General features: G+C 51.8%; 1 protein-coding gene across 14 annotated transcripts, besides 2 other annotated features; it reads right to left on the reverse strand.

The window, feature by feature from the left end:
• Positions 1-4,463: 4,463 nt before the first annotated feature.
• Positions 4,464-24,125, reverse strand: SLC38A7 (solute carrier family 38 member 7). Of its 14 annotated transcripts, none has more exons than NR_161424.1 (12): positions 24,072-24,125; positions 23,310-23,533; positions 19,212-19,596; positions 18,051-18,249; positions 17,688-17,829; positions 16,681-16,779; positions 15,644-15,701; positions 15,295-15,409; positions 11,451-11,598; positions 10,225-10,599; positions 9,468-9,522; positions 4,464-6,842 (listed from the first exon to the last, which is right to left on the reverse strand). NR_161424.1 is itself a non-coding variant. In NM_001369608.1 (12 exons), the coding sequence occupies exons 3-12, from the start codon at positions 19,479-19,481 to the stop codon at positions 6,740-6,742; spliced, it is 1,389 nt and encodes a 462-aa protein (NP_001356537.1). In that variant the 5' UTR covers positions 19,482-19,596; positions 23,310-23,438; positions 24,072-24,125; the 3' UTR covers positions 4,464-6,739. The 14 variants fall into 14 exon arrangements, 13 of the variants coding, with proteins under 13 accessions (NP_001356537.1, NP_060701.1, NP_001356538.1 ...); NM_001369608.1 differs by having other exon boundaries at positions 10,400-10,599; positions 23,310-23,438; NM_018231.3 differs by having other exon boundaries at positions 10,400-10,599.
• Positions 23,497-24,341: an enhancer, noted in NCBI's record as "H3K27ac-H3K4me1 hESC enhancer chr16:58718046-58718890 (GRCh37/hg19 assembly coordinates)". NCBI's record gives its function as "activates a minimal SCP1, AML or CMV promoter by ChIP-STARR-seq in naive H9 embryonic stem cells {active_cell/tissue: H9 hESC(naive)}" and the evidence as "EXISTENCE:reporter gene assay evidence [ECO:0000049][PMID:30033119]".
• Positions 23,852-23,911: an enhancer, noted in NCBI's record as "active region_10934". NCBI's record gives its function as "activates an Ori minimal core promoter by ATAC-STARR-seq in GM12878 lymphoblastoid cells {active_cell/tissue: GM12878}" and the evidence as "EXISTENCE:reporter gene assay evidence [ECO:0000049][PMID:35858748]".

Below are 25,931 nucleotides of genomic sequence, written 5' to 3' on the forward strand. Positions count from 1 at the left end.
TTTTTTTTTTTTTTTTTTTTTTTTTTGAGACGGAGTCTCACTTTATCGCCCAGGCTGGAGTGCAGTGGTGCAGTCTTGGCTCACTGCAACCTCTGCCTCCCGGGTTCAAGCGATTTTCCTGCCTCAGCCTCCCAAGTAGCTGGGACTACAGGCATGTGCCATCACGCCCAGCTAAGTTTTTGTATTTTTAGTAGAGATGGGGTTTCACCATGTTGGCCAGGATGGTCTCGATCTATTGACCTCGTGATCCATCCGCCTTGGCCTCCCAAAGTGCTGGGATTACAGGCGTGAGCCACTGCGCCCGGCCCCCAATTTTGTTTTTAATGGGAGAAGGATCAAATGAATCAATCTTGTGTCTGTTTCCCTTAGGAAACTTGACAAGTTTGGAGGACAGGACGTCTACCTTCTTCCTGTCTGCAAAGTCTCTGGCCTTCCTCCACATCTACTGACATTTTTTAAATTGTATCATACCTAACATTCTTACCAAATTATTTCAGTACCAAATCTGGGTTTGTAATATCTGTATCTATATCTAGTGTATGTACCTATACAGTTAGCATCTGCGATTATTCAATTGGTCTGATTCCCCCATCAGGCTCTGGGCTGTGACTGAGAGTGGCCTTGCCTTAGTATACGGGTGTCACTCAGATGGACCAAGCAGCAGCCAAGTCTCCAGGAGCTCCAGTGACTCAGAGGCCTGGAGTCTCTTCTGTAGCTACAGGGTTCCCACTTTCATGAGCAGAGATTATGCAAAGGTGACCTCTACTGACCAAAGGAAGAAACGGCCGTTATACATTCCCTGTTCCTTCTAGTTCTGCAAAATGACTGACATAGTCACTGCTGTTGGCCAGGCACTTGACATGTATTATTATGCCATCATCCTTGCATTTGTAATGTCTACATCTACAAAGTGGGCATCATCACCCCGCTTTATAGATGAGGAAATGGAAGTTCAGGGAAGTGAAGTAACTCCCTGAGTTCTCACAGTATTAAGAGGCATCGCTAGGATTCAAGCCAGGTCTGTCTGATGCCAACGACTCCGCGCTGTCCACGAGGCACCTGCCACTCAAAAGTGTGGCTCAGGGATTACCAGAGCGTTGGCATCTTTGGGATTGTTAGCGATGCAGACCTCAGGCCCCACTCCAGACCTAGTGAATCAGAATTTATAGCCCAAGGAGAGCCACCAGGGGATTTGCGATAATTGTGTGCACTTGTATGCATGTTAAAGTCTTAGAAACAGGCTGGCCGCGGTGGCTCACGCCTGTAATCCCAGCACTTTGGGAGCCCAAGGTGGGCGGATCACGAGGTCAAGAGATCGAAATCATTCTGGCCAACATGGTGAAACCCTGTCTCTACTAAAAATATAAAAATCAGCTGGGCGTGGTGGCGTGTGCCTGTAGTCCCAGCTACTCAGGAGGCTGAGGCAGGAGAATTGCTTGAACCCGGAGACGGAGGTTGCAGTGAGCCAAGATCGCGCCACTGCACTCCAGCCTGGGCAACAGAGTGAGACTCCAGCTGAAAAAAAAAAAAACGTCTTAGAAACACCCTGACTCCCAGGAGGTGGCAGGGAAACCCCAACATGGGGCCTCTTGGGAAGAAGTTGAATTTGTACATTTCTTTTCTTTTTTGTTTTTTGAGACAGGATCTTGCAGTGTCATCCAGGCTGGAGTGCAGTGGCACAATCACAGCTCACTGTAACCTTAAAACTCCTAGGTTCAAGTGATTCTCCTGCCTCAGCCTCCTGAGTAGCTAGGACTACAGGTAAGCACTATATATATATGTTTTTGTTTTTTTTGAGGCTGAGTCTTGCTGTTGCTGAAGCTGGAGTGCAGTAGCACAATCTTGGCTCACTGCAACCTCTCTGCCTCCTCGGTTCAAGTGATTCTCCTGCCTTAGTCTCCTGAGTAGCTGCGATTACAGGCGCCCACCACCACGCCTAATTTTTGTATTTTTAGTAGAGACAGGGTTTCACCATGTTGGCCAGGCTGGTCTTGAACTTCTAACCTCAAGTGATCTGCCCGCCTCAGCCTCCCAAAGTGCTGGGATTATAGGTGTGAGCCACTGTGCCCAGCTTTTTTCATATTTTTTTTTTCAGAGATGGGTCTTACTATGTTGGCTGGCCTTGAACTCCTGGCCTTATGCAATCCACCTCCCAAAGCGCTGCAATTACAGACCTGAGCCACTGCACCTGGCCTGCTCACTTGTCTATTTATGCAAGTTAAAAGCACTGTCTGCCTCCAGTCTTACAACCTGTGGGACCATGGGCAAAATATTTAACTTCTCTTAGCTTTTGCTTCTTCATAGAAATGTAAAGACCACGATTGTGCAAGTAAAGTGTCAGCACAATATAAGAACTCAACAAACGCTGCTATTCATTCATTCATTCTTTCAGTAACTACTGAGCGCTTGTGCCAGGCACCGGTGGAGGCGCCTGGTGGGTAAAGAAGACATAAGCCTGCTCTCATAGAGCTTACAATCTAATGGGAGAGATGGACATTAACCAAGTGCTTACAAGTATTTGGGACATTAGGATGGGGATGTCTTTTTTCAAAAATCTGTAGGCTGGGCACAGTGGCTCACACGTGTAATCCCAGCATTTTGGGAGGCCGAGGCAGGTGGATCACCTGAAGTCAGGAGTTTGAGACCAGCCTGACCAACATGGTGAAACCCCATCTCTACTAAAAATACAAAAATTAGCCGGGCATGGTGGTGGGTGCCTGTAATCCCAGCTATTTGGGAGGCTGAGGTAGGAGAATCGCTTGAACCCAGGAGGTGGAGGTTGCAGTGAGCTGAGATTGCGCCATTGCACTCCAGCCTGGGCAATAAGACCACTCCAGCATGGGTGACAAGAGGGAAACTCTGTCTCAAAAAAAAAAAAAATTGTATACATTTTAGGGGTACACATACCATTTTGTTACGTGGCTATATTGCATATGGTGAAGTCTGGGATTTTAGTGTATCCATCACTGAAATAATGTACATTGTATCCATTAAGTAATTTCTCATTATCCACCCGTCACACCAGGATGAGGATGTCTTGAGTGAAGTGTATGAATGGATGAACTTGGCTGTTTGCACTGGAGTACGCCTGTGGCGTAGACGCATCCTTTCCTTCCTTCTGTTGAGAGACGGTTAAACTCAACCTCGTTATTCGCTCCCTAGTCAGGCCCAAAGCCCAAAGCCACCCTACCCTTCGAGCCTTTCTGAAGTATTTCTTCCTTGCAGGGTCAGTCCCCCACTTTTACTAGGAGTTGGAGCCTGACCTTCACTTGAGTGTGGCTGGAGCGGAGAGGGGAAGTGTGGTGAGAGATGAGTTGGTTAGACTTGACCCTAAAGGCAAGAGGGAGTCATTTAAGAACCTCCCAACACACAGTCAATGTCTGGCTACCTTGGCCACTTTTCAGTTCCTGAAGTCATGTTCCTCCCAGCTCAAGGCCTTCGCACATGCAGTTTCCATTGCTTGGCAAAGTCTCCCCACCTCTCTTTACTAATTCCTACTCATCAGTCACAGGCCAGCTCAAACATCACTTCCTCCAGGAAGTCTTCCTTGACTCCCCAGACAACTTTCCAGCCCCCAGACTAACACACTGTATTTTCCTTCCTTGGCACTTAACCACAATTTGGAAGTGTATATTTGTGTCATTGCTTGCTTAGCATCAGTCTTCCCACAACTAGGCTGAGAGCAGTACTGGAGTCTGTTTTGCTGGTTTTTTTTTTTTTTTTTTTTTTTTTTAAGATAGAGTTTCACTCTTGTTGCCCAGGCTGGAGTGCAATGGCGTGATCTCGGCTCACTGTAACCTCTGCCTCCTGGGTTCAAGCAATTATCCTGTCTTAGTCTCCCAAGTAGCTAGGATTACAGGCATGCGCCGCCATGCCCAGCTAATTTTTGTATTTTTAGTAGAGACAGGGTTTCAGCATGTTGGCCAGACTTGTCTCGCACTTCTGACCTCAGGTGATCTGCCCACCCTGTTCTCCCAAAGTGCTGGGATTACAGACGTGAGCCACTACACCTGGCCTTTGCTGGTTTTCTTGCCAGCACTGAGCGTGGTGACTGGTGGCTCCATAACCAAGACAGCTGGGACCTGCTCAACGCTCGCCTCTGAAAAGATGGGGGTGGATACTCAGGAGTTTAAAGCTCTTGCCAAGATCTGAAGTCAGGGGGACAGTCTGAGACCACAAAGGCACAGGAAAGACAGTGAGGGCTTAAGTGAAGGCAGAGGTCGCAGGATTGGAGACTGCGATACATTCCTAAGTCACTGGAGAAGGATAGGTAGAATGTGGAAGAAAGCAGGGGTGGCAAGAGCCACTTGCAGGTCCCTGCTTGGTAGAGGGAGCATGGCGGTGCCATTCCGGAGATAGGGGTCAGAGACAGTGACATGCCATCTACACCTCCTACCCCAGCCCTTCTTCCTCCTGGCAGTGGCCTGGACTCTGTCCCCAGGATCAGACACAGGGGACACGGCTCAGCAGCACAAATCCCTTTTATTAACCATCTTCCCTTTCTCGAGTATACACAAGTAGAAAAGAAACAGTGAAGTACCCCGATAGGGAGGGTGGGGAGAGGATGGGAGGGGGCTCCTGAGGTTAGGACAAGAGGCCAGATTCCAGCTCCTTCTCCTGACTGGTCTGTCTCTGTGCAATGACTCCACTTACATCCCTTGACCCCCGAAACACGGCACTGGGGGACTGCAGCCCTGCTGACCAGGCTGTCCTCCTAGCCCTGTCAGGGACTGGTGCTGGCAGAGCTTGGTGCTGTGCCACAGACTGACAGAAAACAGCACAGTGGGTCTGGCCCCGGGGGCAGAGAAGATCAGGCACCAAGAGGGGATGTGAGAAAAGGCAGTTTATCCATCTGGGGACTGGACAGAGGCCCAGCCAGCCTCCAACCAGCTTCTGCTTCTTAGATCGGACTGCCCTGAGTGGCGGGCGGCTCGGCAGGGGGTCCCTCTCGTACCCTTTACAGAGGTTTTGGGGAAGAGGGGACAAGGAAATGCTAGGGGCTCCAGGTGGAGGAGGAAGTCTGATTGGTGCCTGGGATTGGCCAAAGTGAGAGGGGGCAGCTGAGGGGCTGAGGTGGTCAAAACGGGAATATAGTGGGGAGTAGGGTGGGAGGTGGGGAGATAGCCTATCTCTTCGCCCTCTCTGGGGTAACAATTCCAGTGTGACATCAATGTGGCTGGCCACTGAGGCCAGGCCTGATGGACGTGCGTTGCTGAGGAGGCTGGTAAGAGAGCCCCCACTGTCCCCAATTATGTGCGTGGGAGAGACTGAGCTACACAGTGAAGTGAGATGGGAGGTGAAGAGGTAACGGGGTGAGGGGGAAGGAAGGAGCAGACAAAATCCAGACTGGAAGGGAAACTTCCAGGCCAGTGTGGCAGGCTCAAATGCTGCCCATCAGTGACAACCCAGCTGCCTTTTTGTTTGTTTCTGTTTTTTTGAGATGAAGTTTCACTCTTGTTGCCCAAGCTGGAGTGCAATGGCACGATCTCAGCTCATTGCAGTCTCTGCCTCCTGGGTTTAAGCGGCTCTGCTGCCTCAGCCTCCCAAGTAGCTGGGATTACAGGTGCCCGCCACCATGCCCGGTTAATTTTTTGTATTTTTAGTAGAGATGGGGTTTTGCCGTGTTGGCCAGGCTGGTCTCGAACTCCTGACCTCAAGTCATCTGCCCGCCTTGGCCTCCCAAAGTGCTGGGATTACAGGCGTGAGCCACTGCGCCCAGCCCTGCCTTTTTTTTTTTTTTTTTTTTTTGTCTCTGGGTAGTCACGCTAGGGCTGGCAGGGGAGGAGGCAGAGGAAAGGCAGGAAGAAGAGAAAACATCACTGAAAAAGAAGGTGTCGGGGAGGTACACCCTGATTCTGACCAGCCCAGCCCACACAGAGGGTCTGAAAGGTTCTCAGCCTTCTCCATCACCCACCCTGCGGCCTCTGAAAAGAGGGGCCCATCTCAGACACAAAAGCAGATACTCCCAACCTTATGGGGAAAGCTAACGGAGGAATACTCACAGCACCGTGGCACGGGACGGCCCTTGGCTTCAGAGCCGGGCTGGCACCGTTTGTAAACATTAGACCTGGTGATGTCTGGGGATGGAGGAGGAGAGGGATGCCCAGCCTGGACCATCAGGTTTGATGAAAGAGACAGGGTGGGGCCCCTCAAGGCCTGGGAAATGTCTATTAGCTATGGGAAAGAGGCTGACAGGTTCATGGTGGGGGTTGCCCAGGAAGGTGTGGACAAGGTCTGAATCTACCTGACTATGCATTTGCATGACTTCAGTGCTACCGTTGGAAGTGGCCAGGCTCCTGAGGAAGCTACCACTGGCCTGGGGTAATGAGCACAACCCCTACTCAGGACAGGGTGCTCTGTGGAGGATGGTGGCCTTCTGTCCATAGTCATTCTCCAGAGGGAAGTCAGACTGGATTCTTTCTTATGAGATCTACCGACTCTCTTCACCCGTGGATTCCAGGCATGGAGAAGTTGAGAACTGGGAGAGGAGGAGGGGTCCTCTATGATGTGAGACTTCCTGCCGCCATCCACGGCACTGCCAGGACTGGGGAGCAGGAAGGGGACTGGATTTGAGCTGTCCAGAGGTGTGGGGCCTGAGTTTGCCCCAGTCCCTGGAAGAGGATGTCCGGATGTCATCCCACCAGTTGGAATGATCGTGGACTAAGAATGGCCCCATAGCTCTAAGAGATGGGTTCCTGCGACCAATGGCAAAGGCCTTGTGTTCCCTGGGAGGCAGTGGTTATGCCAAGAGATCCACAAAGATGGCGTTGGCTGTGGTCTGGCCGAAGATGAAGGCTCCCAGGGTGACCAAGAGGACTCCGTAGCTGACCAGCACCCACCAGCTGTAGAACAGAGGGTGAGAGAGGTCTGATCAGTCATCCCATCCCATGACTGCAGACTTCAATATATATAACTGTTAATTACTGTAATTATCGCACTTCTCCTGTTGGTAGAGCACTTCCTACTTCCCAAAGACTTCAATACAAAGGTAGTGTGGGGCCAGGTGTATTGTCCCTAGTCCATAGGTAAGAAGACCAAGATCTAATGGGAGTAACTGATTGTTCACATCATGCCACGATTCGAATGTAGGCATCCTGATGGAAAGATGTTCAGAAAAAAGCACGTCACATGGAATGTGGTCTATTTCATTAAAAAAAGGAAACAAAAAGCAGACATCTGCAAATGTATGTACCAATTAACAGCAACAGGGATAAAACGGAATTGAAATAAAGGGTGATTTCCGGCCGGGTGTGGTGGCTCACACCTGTAATCCCAGCACTTTGGGAGGCCAAGGCGGGCAACCTGAGGTCAGGAGTTCGAGACCAGCCTGGGCAAGATGGCAAAACCCCATCTCTACTAAAAACAGAAAAATTAGGCTGGGTGCAGTGGCTCATGTCTGTAATTCCAGCACTTTGGGAGGCCGAGGCAGATGGATCACCTGAGGTCAGGAGTTCAAGACCAGCCTGGGCAAGATGGCGAAACCCCATCTCTACTAAAAATAGAAAAATTAGGCTGGGTGTGGTGGCTCATGTCTATAATCCCAGCACTTTGGGAGGCCAAGGCAGGTGGATCACCTGAGGTCAGGAGTTTGAGACCAGCCTGGCCAGCGTGGTGAAACCCCGTCTCTACTAAAAAAATACAAAAAATGGCTGGGTATGGTGGCTCACGCCTGTAATCCCAGAACTTTGGGAGGCCAAGGTGGGCGGATCACCTGAGGTCAGGAGTTCGAGATCAGCCTAGCCAACATGGTGAAACCCCGTCTCTACCAAAAATACAAAAATTAGCCAGGCATGGTGCTGCGCACCTGTAATCCCAGATACCCTGGAGGTTGCAGTGAGCCGAGATCATGCCACTGCACTCCAGCCTGGGTGACAGAGCGAGATTCCATCTCAAAACAACAACAACAAACCCAAAAAATTAGCTGGGTGTGGTGGTGGGCGCCTGTAATCCAAGCTACTCAGGAGGCTGAGGCAGGAGAATCGCTTGAACCCGGGAGGTGGAGGTTGTTGTAGTGAGCAGAGATCGCGCCATTGCACTCCAGCCTGGGCAACGAGTGAAACTCCATCTCAAAAAAAAAAAAAAAAAAAAAGACAAAAAAAAAAGAAATAAAGGGTGATTTTTTTTCTTCTTCTTCTTTTTCTTTTTTTGAGACAGAGTTTTGCTATCACCCAGGCTGGAGTGCAGTGGTGCGATCTCCACTTACTGCAACCTCCGCCTCCGGGGTTCAAGCAATTCTCCTACCTCAGCCTCCCGAGCTAGGACTACAGGCATGCGCCACCACAACCAGGTAATTTTTGTATTTTTAGTAAAGACGGGGTTTTGCCATGTTGGCCAGGCTGGTCTCGAACTCCTGACCTCAGGTGATCTGCCTGTCTTGGCCTCCCAAAGTGCTGGGATTACAGGCGTGAGTCACTGTGCCTGGCCAATTTTTTTTCTTTTTTAGACATGTTTGTATGGCTTTTTTTTTTTTTTTTTTTTTTTTTTTTTGAGACAGAGTTTCCCTCTTGTTGCCCAGGCTGGAGTGTAATGGTGTGATCTCGGCTCACTGCAACCTCCGCCTCCTGGGTTCAAGCAATTCTCCTGCCTCAGTCTCCCAAGTAGCTGGGATTACAGGCAGGTGCCACCATGCCCAGCTAATTTTGTATTTTTAGTAGAGATGGGGTTTCACCATGTTGGTCAGGCTGGTCTCGAACTCCTGACCTCGGGTGATCTGCCCATGTTGGCCTCCCAAAGTGCTGGGATTACAGGCATGAGCCAATGCACCTGGCTGAAACCACTTTTCATAAAACAAAACAAGAGCCCTGCATCTATGTATACATCTCCATAGCTATGTGTACACAGACACGCACACATGTACAGAAGTGGTTGAGGACACAGACCATACTGGTAACATGGAGCTATCTCAGAAAGGATGTGGGGGCGAGTGGGTTGTGGGGGAAGAGGGACTTCCATCTTTTTGTATTAAGCCCTTTATTAATGTTTAAATTGTTAACAACTAGCACACTACCGAATTTTTAAAAGTATTAAAAAAAAAACAACAACAACCTGGCTGGGTGTGGTGGCTCACGCCTGTAATGCCAGCACTTTGGGAGGCCGAGGAAGGAGGATCACCTAAGGTCAGGAGTTCGAGACCGGCCTGGCCAACATGGTGAAACCTCGTCTCTACTAAAAATACAAAAATTAGCTGGGTGTGGTGGCAGGCATCTGTAGTCCTAGCTACTCGGGAGGCTGAGGCACGAGAATGGTGTGAACCCAGGAGGCGGAGCTTGCAGTGAGCTGAGATCGTGCCACTGCACTCCAGGCTGGGCGACACAGCGAGACTCCGGCTCAAAAAAAAAAAAACAAAACAAAAACCCATGATTTCTAAGTACACAAGCCTCTGACTCCTATCTGTTTTAAGGCCCCCACAAAGCCACATTCCAATCCAGCACCTCCCTGAGAGGATCAAGGGCTGGGTCCTGCTTTACCTGGCTGGTTTGACCTCTTCCATCTCAGAGAGTTTGGCTTGAATGAGGCACAGCCCTGAAAGAGAAGAAGTGGCCCTGAGCATTTGTGAGGGGAGAGGGCTCCCTCCCTCCTAGCCACCTCCTTTCCCAAGAAGCAGTGCTGGATGGAGAAAGGCCCATGTTTACTCTTCTAGAAATTCCATCTCTGCCCCCACACCACATCCTGCTGGGGTCATCTGGCATCTGCTCTCCCATGACAGGCTGGCATCTGACAAGACCCCTTGGGCAGCATGCTAGACTCAGCTAAAGGGACAGCACTCAATGGTGACTCAGTGGTGGCCCAACCCCAGGGGTCTTCCTAGTACACTTCCCAGCAGATCTGGCTCCCCTGCTCCAAGCAAAGCAGCTGGGGCTTTCAGGGTGGCTTCCTGGATAGAGACAAGCTGGAAAAGGGTGGAACTCATGGCTGGGCAGACAGGACAGTTCTCCAGGGATCTGGCGGTAGATCTGTGTCTGGAACCCAGGTTCCCTGATGTCTGTGTCAGGGTGCCACCCCAGACCCCACTGCCCTCTGGGCTGTAATGGGCTGAACCAGCCAGATAGATCCCTCATAGTCAAGGAGCAGCAGACACCTGAATGAATGGTTAAAAGAATAGACTCTGGACCCAGACAGCGTGGGATGGAAAAGGTTACTAGTTGAGTTTGTTAAGCTCTAGGCAAGTCTGTGACCCTTTCTGAGCCCCACGTGCCATCAGTAAACTGGAGATCACAACTATACCTTCTTTCCAGGAGATAATGCTTGGATAGGGGCTAGTACAGAGGCGAGACAGGTGATCAATTAGTGCTGGTGGTTACTCTCTCCTGCATGTTTTGAGCAAGTAGGGAGCTGAGGCTAGGCAGGCCCTGGGAGTCTGTGCTGTGGGGCTGTGAGATGGGGCGCCAGGGGTCCGCACCTGGGAAGACGAAGATGAAGCAGGCGGCCAGGCCTCCAATGACTGAGATCACCTTGCCGATGTCAGGGATGAAGAGCGCCAGCAGCAGGGTGAGCAGGAACCAGACCAGCGTCTGCAGCACTCGCCGCCGCCGCTCCCGCCCCACGTCCTCCTCCACTGGCACCCCCTGGTAGCGCAGCCACAGGCCTTCCACCACCGCCCTGCCCACATGGAGAAGGGCTTAGAGGTGCCCCTGCTGCTAGCAGCTCCCCACCTCTAGCTCACAGGAGCCAGACCCCTAACTGGGTAGACTGCGGGGAAAGCCCCATTCCTGACCCTCAGTTTCCTCTTCTGTAAAATGGGCCACCAGCACTCTGTTTACCACAGGGACTAGAGACGGTGAATGTCGAGAGCTTAGCACTTTGCTTTACATCACATGGAAACTGATATTGTTTTTTCCTTAAAAGGAACTGTCTGGGGCATCCAAAGGGGAGGGTGTCCATGTGAAAGCTCAGGAAAGGATCTGGATAGAGATTCTTTTGTTTTTTGTTTTTTTGAGACAGGGTCTGGCTCTCTCACCCAGGCTGGAGTGCAGTGGTGCAATCTTGGCTCACTGCAGCCTTGAACTCCTGGGCTCCAGCCATCCTTCTGCCTCAGCCTCCCAAGTGGCTGAGTAGCTGGGACCACAGGTGCATCCCACCACACCTGGCTATTTATTTTATTTTGTGTAGAGATGGGGTCTCACTAGGTTGCCCAGGTGGTCTTGAACTCCCAGGCTCAAGCGATCCTTCTGCCTCAGCCTCCCAAAGTGCTGGGTTTAGAGACGTGAGCCACCGTGCCATGCCATGGATAGAGATTCTTACAGGACTCACGGAATGTTCTGGTGACCCCAGGACAAAGGGCGCTTCTGACACCTGGCCTGGGATATGTAGGGACCCATCCTAGGCACCGACTCTTTTCTACAGGCTTCAGTTTCTCCTTCTACAGGATGGGGTCCACACAAGGCCAAAGGACCATGTTGGAAGCGCTCACAGGGGCTAGGAGGGGCCCTGGGGAGTGGAAGGGGGCTCACCGCCCACAGAAGTGCAGGATAGGGTAGGAGGTGAGCACGCTCAGGATGATGAAGGCTCGGGCAACGGCCACGGCCATGTCCTCCGAGGGATAGGACAGGAGCACGTCAGGATCCACAGCAGCTCCAAAGGTCAGGAAGCCACAGATGCCTGTGGGCAGGGACAACTGGGTCAGGGCAACCCTGGGAGGGTAGTGGGGTGGACTGTCCACTCCTCCTAGGAGCAACATCAGCCTGGAGGCTGCAGCAGCAGCTCTGGACACTTAGACGGAGGCTCAGAGTGGGAGATGGGGCTCCGATCAGATGCCTCCCTCCCTGACTTCTCAGATCCCCCATCGCTGGAAGCCCTCCAGCCCCCAGCTTTCTGAGCCTGAACTTGCCCAGCACATTCCCACCTCAGTGCCTTGGCACTGACTGTTCTGTCTGGCAGACCTTCAGATGCCATCTCCTTATCATTTGGGTCTCAGTTTAGATGTCCTTCCTCAGAGAATGCTTCCTGCCAGTCCATCTACAATGACCCCCACCCCAGGCACTCTCTCACATCACGCTGTCTTATTTTTCTTTTCTTTTTTGAGACAGAGTCTTGCCCTGTTACCCAGACTAGAGCGCAGTAGTGTGATCATGGCTCACTGCAGCCTTGACCTCCTCGGCTCAAGCGATTCTCCCACCTGAGCCTCCCAGGTAGCTAGGACTACAGGCAGATGCCACCACACCCAGCTAATTTTCTTGTAGAGATGGGGTCTTGCTACGTTTCCCAGTCTGGTCTTGAACTCCTGGGCTCAAGTAATCCTCCTACCTCACCCTCCCAGAGTGTGAGCCACTACACCCAGCCTTCTTCTTTTTTATTTTTTTGAGATGGAGTTTCACTCTTGTTGCCCAGGCTGGCACGCGGTGGCACGATCTCGGCTCAGTGCAGCCTCCACTTCCCAGGTTCAAGTGATTCTCCTGCCTCAGCCTCCTGAGTAGCTGGGATTACACCATGCCCGGCTAATTTTTTTTTTTTTTTTTTTTTTTTTTTTTGAGATGGAGTCGCGCTCTGTCATGCCCAGGCTGGAGTACAATGGCATGATCTTGGTCTCCTGGGTTCTCATGCCTCAGCCTCCTAAGCAGCTGGGATTACAGTCACCTGCCGCCACACCTGGCTAATTTTTTTTTTTTTTTGAGATGGAGTTTTGCTCTTTCACCCAGGCTGGAATGCAGTGGTGCGATTTCAGCTTACTGCCACCTCTGCCTTCTGGTTTTAAGTGATTCTCCTGCCACAGACTCCCGAGTAGCTGGGATTACAGGCGCCCGCCACCAAGCCTGACTAATTTTTGTATTTTTAGTAGAAATGAGGTTTCACTATGTTGGCCAGGCTGGTCTCGAACTCCTGACCTCGTCATCCGCCTGCCTCGGGAAGTGCTGGGATTACAGGCGTGAGCCACCACGCCCAGCCCTAATTTTTTTATTTTTAGTAAGATGGGGTTTCGCCATGTTGGTTGGGCTGGTCTCGAACTCCTGACCTCATGTGATCTGCCTGCCTGGGCCTCCCAAAGTGCTGGGATCACAGGCGTGAGCCCCAGTGCCTGGCCGTTTTTTTTTTTTTTTTTAAAGACAGGATCTTGCTCTGTCACTCAGGCTGGAGTGAAGTGGTACAATCATAGTTCCACTGTAGTCTTGAATTCTTAGACTCAAGTTCCTCCTGACTTGGCCTCCCAAGTCACTGGGACTACAGGCACATGCCACCATGCCTGGCTAATTTTTTTTTTTTGAAGACAGAGTCTCACTTTCTCCCCCAGGCTGGAGTGCAGCGGCGCGATCTTGGCTCACTGCAACCTCGGCCTCCCAGGTTCAAGTGATTCTCATGCCTTAGCCTCCCGAGTAGCTGGGATTACAGGCACCACCACCACGCCCGGCTAATTTTTGTAATTTTGATAGAGACAGGGTTTTGCCATGTTGGCCAGGCTGGTCTCGAACTCCTGGCCTCAAGTGATTCACCCACCTTGGCCTCTCAAAGTCCTGGGATTACAGGCGTGAGCCACCATGCCTGGCGGACGCCCAGCTAATTCTTTAATTTTTGTAGAGATGAGTCTCACTATGTTGCCGAGGCTGGTCTTGAACTCCTGGCCTCAAGCGGTTCTCCCATCTCAGCTTTTCAAAGTGTTGGGATTACAGGCATGATCCACTGGGCCTGTCCCCTAACACTCATTTCTCTCTTTTTTAGAGACAGGGTCTCACTCTGTTGCCCAGTTTGGAGTGTAATGGCATGATCATGGGTCTCTACAGCCTTGATCTCATAGGCTCAAGCGATCCTCCCACCTCAGCCTCCCAAGTAGCTGGGTCCACAGGTGCATGTTACCATAACCTGGCTAATTTTTAAATTTTTTGTAGAGATGGAGTTTCACCATGTTGCCCAGCCTGTCTTGAACTCCTGGGCTCCAGAGAACCTCCCACCTTGGCCTCCCATAGCTGAGATTATAGGTGTGAGCCACTGTGACTGGCCTCATCGCTTTCTAATTTTTTTTTAACTGTACTATCACACTGGTCTTTAAGTAAACAATAATACAAATAAAAATAATAACAATAATAATAGTAATTAATTTTTACAGGCTTATTTTCTGTCTCCCCAGCCAGGACATGAGCCCCAGGAGAATAGGGATTTGGCTGTTTGCCTCTCTTGTTCCTGGCTGTGTATTCAGAGGCTAGAACAGTATTGGCCCAGGCAGCTCCTACGGTCTATCCGTGGAAAGAACTCAGGGGATCCTTCTTCCAGGGTCTCCTAGACTTGCTCCCTCACCCCAACCACTCTCCACACGGCAGCCAGAGCCACCTTTCCCCGAACCACCCCCCTGCTTAAAACACTTCCTCGATGACTCCCAGCAGCCCTCGAGGCCCAACAGGATCTGGCTGCCAGTGCCTGTCTGGCCTCACTGCCTTCACCTGCCCCCATCACACACCACTCCAGCCACATAGACTTTCTTCCTGGCCCTGCCTCAGTGATTTGGTGTTTTGTGGTTCCTCTGCCTGGAACCCTTCTTCCCCAGCTCCTCCTCTTCTGGCTCTTTCTCATCATTTGGGCCTTCTCTGAGAAGAACCTTCTGTGAACCACTCCCAAAGCCACCCATCCAGTCCCATTCATACCTTCCCCATTTTAGGCTGGGTTGGTGGCTCATGCCTGTAACCCCAGCACTTTGGGAGGCCGAGGCAGGAGAATTGCTTGAGCCCAGGAATTCAAGACCAGGCTAGGCAACATAGTGAGACCTTGTCTCTGCTAGAAAAAAAAAAAAAAAAAAATTAGCTGGGCACAATGGCACATGGCTGTAGTCCCAGCTACTCTGGAGGCTGAGGCAGGAGGATCACTCGACCTCAGCAGGTTGAGGTTGCAGTGAGCTATCATCATGCCACTGCACTCCAGCCTGGGCGACAGTTTCTGAGACCCTTTCTCAAAACAAAATAAAATAGAATAAAACAAAACACACCTTCCCTATTTCACTGTCATCAGGATGCTTGCCACCATCTGGAATTCCTTACTGATTCCCCAGTTACTCCTGCATGACTGTCTCTCCAACAAGAATGTCAACTCCATGAGGGCAAGACCAGTTCTGTCTCTCTCCATGGCATCCCCCATGCTGAGAACCGTTCCTGGCACTTCCTAGGCACCAAGTTAGAACTGGTGAATGAATGGATGAATACACCACTCTCATCTTGGCAGGAGGAGGCTCCAGGCAGGCCAAGTTCAAGCCAATGCCTATACAAGTCATGCTGGGAATGCAGGGCTGTCCCCAGGAAAGCTAGGCCCCAGGACCTAGGGACTCCTGTGGAAGTGAGAGCACTCTAGTCCCAGGTCTTGGGGGGGGGGAGCACTCACCTGTCCCCATGTAGACAGCGAGGGCTATGACCATGGCAGCTGTCACCACTCCACCCCAGGTCTTCACTTCAGGCTGCTGCATGCTGTTGAAGACGGGCACACTGCTGACGTGGCACTGTCCAGGTGAAGGGCACCGTCATGGTGGGGAAATGACCTCAACCCCAGTTTCCAGAGGAAGGTACCTTGGGAACAAAGACCCCAGGAACAAGGGGCAAGTCCTGAGGCCCCTGTTCCATCCTTCCCCCCAGGATTTCCTCCATTCTGCCTGGGTTCCTCCTCCTTGCTGGGTTCCATCCCAGGGTGGGGTGATCTAAGGGGACAGCAGGGACCTTGCAACTGGCACTGGCACCTGAAATCCGAAGCAGATGGTGGGCATGGCATTGAACACAGCCATCCAGGAAGCCGGCCTGTGAACAAACACACATGGTGCTGCCACCTGGGAACCCCTCAGAGCCACAACCCACCCCACGCCCTCACTCTTCGGTCAGCCCACCATGGTCTCCAGCAACTGGGATTCCATAGCTTCAACCCACAGAAGTCTGGGAACAGGGAGAAGAGGCATCCTTATGTCCCAGGGCCCTCTGGGATGGGGCCTGGAGGTTCAGAAAAGCCCCCCTGGGGCCAAAATCCAGAATTCCTGGCTCCTGGACTGGGGCTTTTGCTTTACTGGTTTGTTCCTTTCAAAAGAAGGAAATTGTTTTTTTTGTTTTGTTTTGTTTTGTATTTTTTTGAGATGGAGTCTTGCTCTGTCACCCAGGCTGGAGTGCAGTGGCGCGATCTCGGCTCACTGCAACTTCTGCCTCCCAGGTTCACGCCATTCTCCTGCCTCAGCCTCCCGAGTAGCTGCTACTACAGGCGCCTGCCACCACACCCGGCTAATTTTTTTGTATTTTTTAAGTAGAGACGGGGTTTCACCGTGTTAGCCAGGATGGTCTCAATCTCCTGACCTCATGATCCGCCCGCCTCGGCCTCCCAATGTGCTGGGATTACAGGCGTGAGCCATTGTGCCTGGCCCCCCCCCTTTTTTTTTAATAATAAATTCACCCTCAAAGATACAGAAATTACAGATAAGCAGATGCTGGAAACACAGGCAATTCGACCCTGGGATTCCACCCTCAGGTTCCTCCACAACCCAAGGCCTAGCCTCACACTGGCTCATCTGTTGGATGTAGGTGGCAAAGTGCCTCCTGTCTCTGATTCTTGCTCTTCCTTCCAGTAACATCAGAGCAGGGGCTCTTTCCTCCTTCCTACAATGACCAAGTCAGCCCTGATGAGCTCATGAGCCTTGAGAAGAGCACCTGTGTGGCCTTCTGGTTCCTGACCCAGCACCTGCTGGGGCCCAAGTGGTGGCTTCTTCCCCATGTCTCCTAGGGCCCTCACCCTCACCTGGTCAGGATGTTCCCTGGGGTCATCTCTTTATCTGGCCAGATGTACTTGATGATAACGATGGCTGTGACGTACCAGGTACCCACGACGCTCAGGAAGCTGCCGGGAAGGAGAGACTAAGTGTCCTCATCCCCAGCTGCCTCTTATCTGATTCCACCCCTAGGGACATCCACCTTCAGCTCTAGCGACCACAAGTGTCCACTGAATGAACCGGAGACTATGCCAAGCAGACTCAGGAAACGCCTGAGAAGTAGTTTCAGAGAAACCTGCCACAGCTAGGAAGGAGCTGGACAGCCAACAGGGGACCTGATCAGCATTCCTGGCCATCAGGAAGTGCTGGTTCAGCTCCATGGCTCAGAGACGATGCAGAGAGCAGAGCTCCAAAGCACACCTGGGACTTGAATCAGAGCAGCCCAGCCCGGGCAGGGGCTGTGGGAGACCATCCTCTGAGCCTGGCCTTTGAGAACTAAGAGATGCCAGAGGTAAGAGGGTTGAGAGTACAGACACTTTTGTGTCAACATTTATGGGAGCCTTGGAGAGAGCGGAGCATGGCCCCTGCACTTACAGACGGGGAAGCCTAGAATCCCACAGCCTTTCAGACACCGAGACAGGAAACCAGTCTCCTTCCTTCATGCCAAGCTGCAGGTAAGATGCTGGTAGGCTGACAGTCTCAAAGACCCAAATTCCTCCCAGGGAATGCCAGGAGGCTGCCTTCACCGCCCAGATACCACCTGTTCCTTCTTTGACAAGGGCACTTAGAACTGAACTACTCATGGATGCAAAAGGACATTTAGAACTGAATCTCTCATGGATGCATCCTTTTTCTATGATGGAGACAGAAAAGGATGGTCTTATCTGAAACCCTGCAAGCCCCGGTCTGCCCTGCCTTGCCTACTCTTGCTCCCCAAGGTGAGGTGGCATGGAGGAGCAGGGTTCCCCAGGAGCCCTTGGGTCTACAGCTGCCCAGGATCATAGCTTCTGTCTGACCCAGGCTGGGGCCTCCAAACCTGGCATATTTCTGGAAACCAATCTCCCTGGGGATGGAGAGGGGCAGGATGAAGAGGAAGGCAGTGAGGCTGATGGTGAACTTGCGGTCTGTGTACCAAGGGCCGCTGGCCCCCTCCGGCTCTTTCGCCATCACAGCTATAACTGCACAGGGAGGAAGGAGGGAATGTCAAGCCAGGCCACCATGGGGTGTGGCCCTCCTGCTCTGCTGGGCCCCAGGACCTCCCTCTGCCTGGAGGGAGGATTCCCAGATGAATGCTGGGCCCAGGTAAGTCCTGGAGAGGTGTTCAGTGCCTTTTCCCTCCACCCCAGGATCCCTGGGGCTGATAAGAAGAGATGGGGTAGGGACTGAGGGAGAAGCTCACTCTTGTCCTGCTGGTCGCCAATGATGATTAGGAAGGCAATGCAGGTGCCAAAGGTGTAGACAGCGATGGCCACCTCACATAGCACACCTGTCAGCTTGCCACACACAGCCCATACCACCTCCTGGTAGGTCCTCTCATTGCTGGCCTGGGAGCAGTAGGCCAGGATGACAAGGCCACTGATGATGAAAACCAGCATACCCTGCAGGCAGAGGCAGAACAAGAGCTTGTGGCAAAGGCCTGGCAGCAGAGGGCACCCTGGGCTCGCCTAGCATTTACTGGGCCAGTGCCCAAAGCAAGCTTGGCAAATCTCACAAAGGCAATTTTAAGAGACTGCTAGAGGATGCCGAGTTGAGATTTTCTTTAAAAACAAAAAGTTTTTTGAAAAATTGCCAACATACAAAAGTAAAGAGAATAGGCTGGATGCGATGGCTCATGCCTGTAATCCCAGCACTTTGGGAGGCTGAGGCAGGAGGATCACTTGAAGTCAGGAGTTTGAGACCAGCCTGGCCAACATGGTAAAACCCCGTCTCTACTAAAAATACAAAAATTAGCTGGGCATGGTGGTGGGTGCCTGTAATGCCAGCGACTTGGGAGGCTGAGGCAGGAGAATCACTTGAAACTGGGAGGCAGAGGCTGCAGTAAGCCGAGATCGGGCCACTGCACTCCAGCCTGGGTGACAAAGCAAGACTCCATCTCAAAGAAAAAAGTAAAGAGAATAGTAAAAAGAACTGGCATGTATCCATCACTCAGCTTCAAAAATGATCAATGCATGGCCAACTTGTTTCATCATTCCCCTTCCCTCCCACTCTGCATTTATTGTGAAGCCAATATAAGCTATCATATCATTTCATCAATAAATATTTCAGTATGTAGTTCTAAAAGATAAGGGCCCTCTTTTTAAACATACCACAAAATCAATGTTACACCTAAAAAATTAGAGATGTAATTGATGTTCAAATTTCTCTGATTGTTGGAAGGCTTCTGAAGCCTCATTTGGGTCACAGGAAAGAATACTAGAATAGATTAGTCATGTCTGCCATGTGTGAGGGAGGGGAGAGCAGTGCGTGTATCACTTACTGGCCATCCCTGACCCGAAGCCTCCCTTTTGAGGCAAAGCGCCCAACTGAACTGCACCTCTGCCCTCCCGGCCAGTGCACTCACCATCTGCAGTGCGATGCCTGCTGCCACGCCCCCCGCAGTGCTGAAGGCTGCTGGGAAGTTGAGTAACCCTGCACCCAGGCACGCGTTGACGACGATGAAGATGGCCCCAAGTGTGGAAGTGGTGCCTCTGTCCAGACCCCCAGGAGAGGCTTCCCACTCACTCTTGGGGGCTGTGTCCACACAGGGACTCTGCAGCAGCCGAGCCCGCTCCCCGGCATCCGTGCTCAAGTCCCACTCGCTGTAGTCATTGTTGATGCTGACCTGGGCCATGGCCCCGAGAGCCTTCTTCCTGCAAGGTCTGTGGGTTCTGCCTTACAACCACATGCCTCAGGGAGCTGAGCAACACCCACCTGTTTGGGGCTGTTAGCTTAGGACTCTTCTCAACCTAGATGGGACAAAGGCAGGCACTACTGTTATCCTAAGATGGGGGAACTAGGGGACAAAAAGGTGTAATAACTTTCCCAAGATCACATGGGTAGGGTCCAAACCCAGGTATGCCTCTGTGCAGACAGTGCACTGGGTGCCAGAGTATGGGGAGACAGACACAGAAACAGATCAGGTGCAAATCATGCTTGCTTCAGGCATACAGACTCAATGGACCAGTTAGATGTCAACATAAAATGGGTACTAACACATCAGCACTCGATAGAGGCCCCGCATCGGGCAGGTGTGTCATGGATATACTTTATCTCATTCAATCCTTAGGATGGTCTTGTGGTCAAAAGGTTCGGAGAGATCCCATCACTGACCCAGGGTCATATATTAGCAAGTTGCATAGCAGGATTTGGATCCAGATCTGTCTGGCTTCCCAGCCTGTTTCCACCCCACAGGGTCCCAAAAGGACCCCTTACCAAGAACTGAGATTCAACATATTACAGTCCAGCACGCCTCCCGGTGGCCTGGAGTCTGAATTCTGTGGCTTTCGAGGCCCTTCGAAATTCAGGCCAATTCTCGACTCTTCTCTCATGTGACAAGCCCCCATGCCTGTCATGTTTGCGTCTTCAGGAAAACAGTGATTCATCCCATGCTTCTAATGCTCCCAACTCCTTTGCCGCCACCCTTTTAGGTCCTATTTCTTCCCCATTTCCTGGGTCACTCACTGAGCTCTTCTTGGAGCCATGTAGGGGCCCAGAACCACTCTAGCTGGTTTCTTCTCAGTACTCTCTCATGTGCTAGCATCTCACTGGCCACTAGGCTTGCTTTCCTGGGCTAGATTACAATGATCAGTGCCAAACATGCAGTGCTGTTTGTCACTATAAACCACTATTGCTGCAGCTATGGAATGCTTTCTCATTCAATCCTCAATGCAGCCCTAAAAGGTAGACATGACAGTCACCATTTTACCAAAGAGGAAGCTGAATCCCAGAGGGGATAACCACTCTCCCCTCAGTCATATGGCGGTCAGTGGTGGAGCTGGGATTCAAACCCAGGCCTGTCTGACCATAGGGCATCCATCTGTTTGTATCTGCCCCACTCCTGGGTCCAAGATGGTACCTTGGGTATGGCAGAACTCAGATAACAGGCTTATCACCTGACTGATTCTCTTTGCTCTCTGGATAAACACAATTGAGATGCAGTTTTTTTTCTTCCAAGAATCTCGAGAGGCTCTGAGGAGCCCAGCCCTGAAAAAGGATCTTCAGTGTTCTCAAGGTTCAGCTCATAGCCTGAGACCCGCAGAGAAATGATGGTCCTAAAGCATCAAGTCCACCCCCAGATCAAGAGCAGCCCTGGGCAGGGCTGTGATCTGGGTCTCCGAGTAGGTTCTGCCGTCAGAATGCTGACTCCTCCGCTGCCTATCTGTGTGACCCTGGGCAAGTCACTTCGCCCCTTTAGGCCTTTACATCATATGTTCCTGTGGGTCGTGTGTTAATATCAGTAAGGGTTTAAGACTCAATAAATGGTCACTGCTGCTGTTATTTCTGCAGATGCCCCTTCCCATGTTGCCCACCACCACCATGCCTGAGACTCTCCAGCCCTAAGCAAGCAGGGAGCAGAACACTGATCAAAACCAGAGCCTGGGCCGGGTGTGGTGGCTCACATCTGTAATTCCAGCACTTTGAGAGGTCGAGGTGGGCAGATCACCTGGGGTCAGGAGTTTGAGACCAGCCTGGCCAACATGGTGAAACCCCATCTCTACTAAAAATACAAAAATTAGCCAGGTGTGGTGGTGCACCCCTGTAATCCCAGCTGTGCAGGAGGCTGAGGCAGGAGAATCGCCCGAAATTAGGAGACAGAGTTTGCAGTGAGCCCAGATCACGCCACTGCACTCCAGTCTGGGCGACAGAGTGAGACTCTATCTCAAAACAAACAAACAAACAAAACTCAAACCACAGCCTGGTGCTATTGGCCAGGTAACAATGGGCACAGAGGCCCTGGGATAGCTAATGGGAGAAAGAGCAGGAAGAAGGCCAGATTTCAAGGGCAGGAACTAAGGGGGCAGGGAGGAGCCAGGGCAGTCTTCCCCAGAGGCTGCTATTAGCTGGTTACCACCCAGGCTGGCGAAATCTGCCAAAGACTCCTTCTCCTAGAGTCTCCTCATTCCTGAGTCCCGATTTCACGGTACTCATACAAAACTCCATTTTAATCTCTACTCCCTCCCTGGTTTAGTCTTTATTTATTTAGAGACAGGGTATCACTCTGTTGCCCAGGCTGGAGTGCAGTGGCGCAATCAGAGCTCACTGCAGCCTCAATCTACCAGGCTCAAGCAATCCTCCCACCTCAACTTCCCGAGTACCTGGGACTACAGGTGTGTGCCACCACAGCCAGCTAACTTTTAAAATTTTTTTTTTTTTTGAGACGGAGTCTTGCTTTGTCACCCAGGCTGGAGTGCAATGGCACAATCTCAGCTCACTGCAACCTCTGCCTCCCGGGTTCAAGAGACTTTCCTGCCTCAGCCTCCTGAGTAGCTGGGATTACAGGTGCCCGCCACCATGCCTGGCTAATTTTTGTATTTTTAGTAGAGATGGGGTTTTGCCATGTTGGCCAGGCTGGTCTTGAACTCCTGACCTTGTGATCCCCCTTGGCCTCCCAAAGTGCTAGGATTACAGGCGTGAGCCACCACGCCTGGCCAACTTTTTAAATTTTTTGTTCCTGTGGGGAACAAAATTGGCCTTTCAAAATTCAGGCCAATTCTCAACTCTTCTCCCATGTGACTTCTCCCACGTGACAAGCCCCCCACGCCTGTCATGTTTAAATTTTCTGTAGAGATGAGGAGGTCTCACTATGTTGCCCAGGCTGGTCTTGAACTCCTGGGCTCAAGCAATCCTGCTGCCTCGGCCTCCCAAAGTGCTGGGATTACAGGCGTGAGCCACAGCCCCCAGCCTGGTTTAGTCTTTATAGCCCAGAGGGAAAAAAAGGGAACTGAGCATATTCAGCCATAATGACTGCCCTAACCATTGGGCCACCCTCTCTGATGCCTTCAGCCCACTGGGGGTTTAAAATGACTAACAAGACCCCTTGGACTACTTCCCATTGCTCCTCCTGATGATGGACAAACAAAGCTGGGGACCATCCACTCATGAGAGGGAAAGGGTGAAAGTTCATGTGCTCTCAGCCATCTGTTATCAAGCATGGAACCAAGGGACATGGCACCAGAGGAAACATTCCTCTGCTGGCTCGAAACCCAGAAAGATCTGTCAGATGTCACAGGGCTTACACATCCTCTTACACATCCTGTCACCCAACCAGCAACTCAGCAAAATCAAAGCAGTGAGCAGCGAAGGCAGAGTCTTGGGACTCCCAGGCTTCCAGTGTAGCTAGAGAAAGAACCCTGCAAAGTGACCACTGCCAGAGCTGTGACCATCTCCTCCCCGCTGCTCACGTCACAGAGACAGAGGTCTACAGAGTGATTCGTCCAAGGTCACAAGGCTTGGTGCGGCTTCCTGACTCTCCAACCAAAATGTTTCCCTTGGGCACCCCTGCCCGAGTCCTGCACCATCCTCCAGCCTCTCCTGCCACCCACATGAGAGTGCAGGCTGGGGTCCTCGTGGAACTCAGAAGCTGGGGGTCCCACCTCTTGCAGATTCTCTGCCTTGGTTAAGACCTCTCGGCACCCCCACTGCTCACTGGCAAATTACTCAGCTCATTGTTGCACCTTACCTGCTCTTTCTCCCTGATGGGCTGTGCCAGAGGCGGTTGCTCCTTCTCCCCAAAGGTCTGGGATCTGATTCTCCTCACTTCCCTTTCTGGACCCAATTTCTTCTTTCTCAAGACTTTGCCTAAAATTTGCTGTCAGCAGAGGGAAGAGTTTGGGCTACTTCTGTGCTGGCTTCAGCAGAGCTGGAGGAAACTGAGCGGCTCTCACGCTTACTCATGAAATGGAGCTTCAGGACAGATAGGAAAACAGGCCCAGGAGGGAGAGGTTAGACTAAGGTCACAGTGGGTAGCTGGCAGAGCCAGAATAGAAGCCTGATGCCCACATGCTCAGGCCAGCGATGTAGGCCCCTCAGATCCCAACTGGAGTGTGCTCCCAGTCCAGCCTGGGGTTGGAGCCCTGAGATAGAAAGGGTGGGCTGCTTTGTGAGGTGAGGCTTTGTGAGGTGAGCCAGGGCGCACCCGGGCCAGGAGGCCGGGGCGGGGCGATTCCCAGGCCTGGAGCGAGAAGGGTGGGCTACTGTGGGGTAACCTGGGGAGGAGCTCCGGGACCCGATCCCGGCCTAGGACTGGGTGGAGACCCTCTGGCTGGGTAAAGGCGCGGCAGAGCTGGCGCAACAGAGGGACGGGCGTGGGGCGAGGACGCCAGGATCTGGACCCCTGCAGGGAAAGGGTCTGAGCTTTTCCGCGGTGGCGGGGACTGAGGGGCTCCACAGACCTCGGGGATCTAACACTTCCACCCTCCAGAGCCTGTCTCCGGCCACCTACCTTGGGGGATTCTTTCCCGAGCCGGCTGCGGAGACACGTGAGCATGCATCACATGACGCCCGCTCGGGCGGCCGCGGGACACGCTGGGAGTTGTAGTTTCCGCAAATGTGAAGCTTGGACAACACCAGCTCCCTGAATCCTCAGCCCGACAGCACTGCCCTGAGCCAGCCTCGCGTCCAGCCAGCTCGTGTTTATCCTCTTACTTTTAGTCTTGGCCTCTTGACCAAATCAAACACTGCTCCTTCCTCCAAGGAAGAGCATTAGGAGGTCTGGCCTCTTTGCCAGTCCCGGTGGCGGTGGGCCAAAGCTGTTTGGCCTCATTATCCTCCCGGTCTCTGTCCTTGCCTTCACGCCCATGGCCAGAGCACTGGAGTTTTTTTTTAATCAGTAATGTGGGGGACCTGGAGCCACGGTCTTTCCTGCAAGGGAGTGGGCTGGGGGCATGGTTACGACCCCATCGGTTTAGACTCTAGAACAGTTTTTGAGGGATTGTAGGTGCTCAGTAAATATTTGTTGAATGACGAAATGGGCATCCAGTCCTGGTTCTGTTCTTGGCTGTGTGTCACTCATAAATTGTCACGTAATCTCCAGCATCCCAATAGCCTCATCTCTGTTTTGTGGATATGCTCTCCACTGCACTTACCTCTCCATGCATCAGAGGTCCTCACCGATGAGGACACACTGGGAATCCTTAGAAACCCAAATCACACCTTTTTTTTTTTTTTTTTTTTTTTTTTTTTTGAGACAGAGTCTCACTCTGTCTCCCCGGCTGGGGTGCAGTGGCACGATCTTTGCTCACTGCAACCTCTGCCTCCCGGGTTCATGTGATTCTCCTGCCTCAGCCTCCCGAGTACCTGGGATTACAGGCATGCACCACCACTCCCAGCTAATTTTTGTATTTTTAGTAGAGATGGGGTTTCGCCATGTTGGCCAGGTTGGTCTCAAACTCCTGACCTCAAGTGATCCACCCACCTCAGCCTCCCAAAGTGCTGGGATTACAGGCATGAGCCACCGTGCCTGGCCTCCAAAAAGTTTATATAAATTGAATCATACTGGTTGAGTGCGGTGGCTCACACCTGTAATCCCAGCACTTTGGGAGGCCAAGGCGGGCTGATCACTTGAGGTCAGGAGTTCGAGACCAGCCTGGCCAACATGGCGAAGTCCTGTCTCTATTAAAAATACAAAAATTAGCTGGGCATGGTGGTGCACGCCAGTAGTCCCAGCTACTCGGGAGCCTGAGGCAGGAGAATCACTTGAACCCGGGGGGCGGAGGTGGCGGTGAGCAGAGATCGTGCCACTGCACTCCAGCCTGGGAGACAGAGTGAGACTCTGTCTCAAAAAAAAAAAAAAAAATAGAATCATACTGTCTTAATCAGTTAAGGCCGCTATAACAGAGTATCATAGACTGGGTGGTTTAAACGACAGAGATTTATTTTTCACCGTCCTGGAAGCTGTCAAGACTGAGGTCAGAATGCCAGCAGAGTCAAGTTCTGGGGAGGACCATCTTCATAGTTTTCAGATGGCCATCTTCCTGCTGTGTCCTCACATTGCGGAAAGCAGAGAGGGAAAGTAAACTCTCTCTTATTTTTATTTATTTTATTATTATTATTATTTTTAGAGACACGGTCTCTGTTGCCCAGGCTGGAGGGCAGTGGCGCAATCACAGCTCACTGCAGTCGCCATCTCCCAGGCTCCACTAGTCCTCCCGCTTCAGCCTCCCAAATAGTTGAGACTACAGGCATGCGTGCCATCATGCCTAGCTAACTTTTCATTTTTTATAGAGACAAGGTCTTCCTATGTTGCCCAGAATGGCCTCAAACTCCTGGGCTCAAGTGAACCTCCTGTCTCAGTCTCCCCAAG

Source organism: Homo sapiens, chromosome 16 (genome assembly GCF_000001405.40).
Source record: "Homo sapiens chromosome 16, GRCh38.p14 Primary Assembly".
Taxonomy (NCBI): Eukaryota; Metazoa; Chordata; class Mammalia; order Primates; family Hominidae; genus Homo; species Homo sapiens.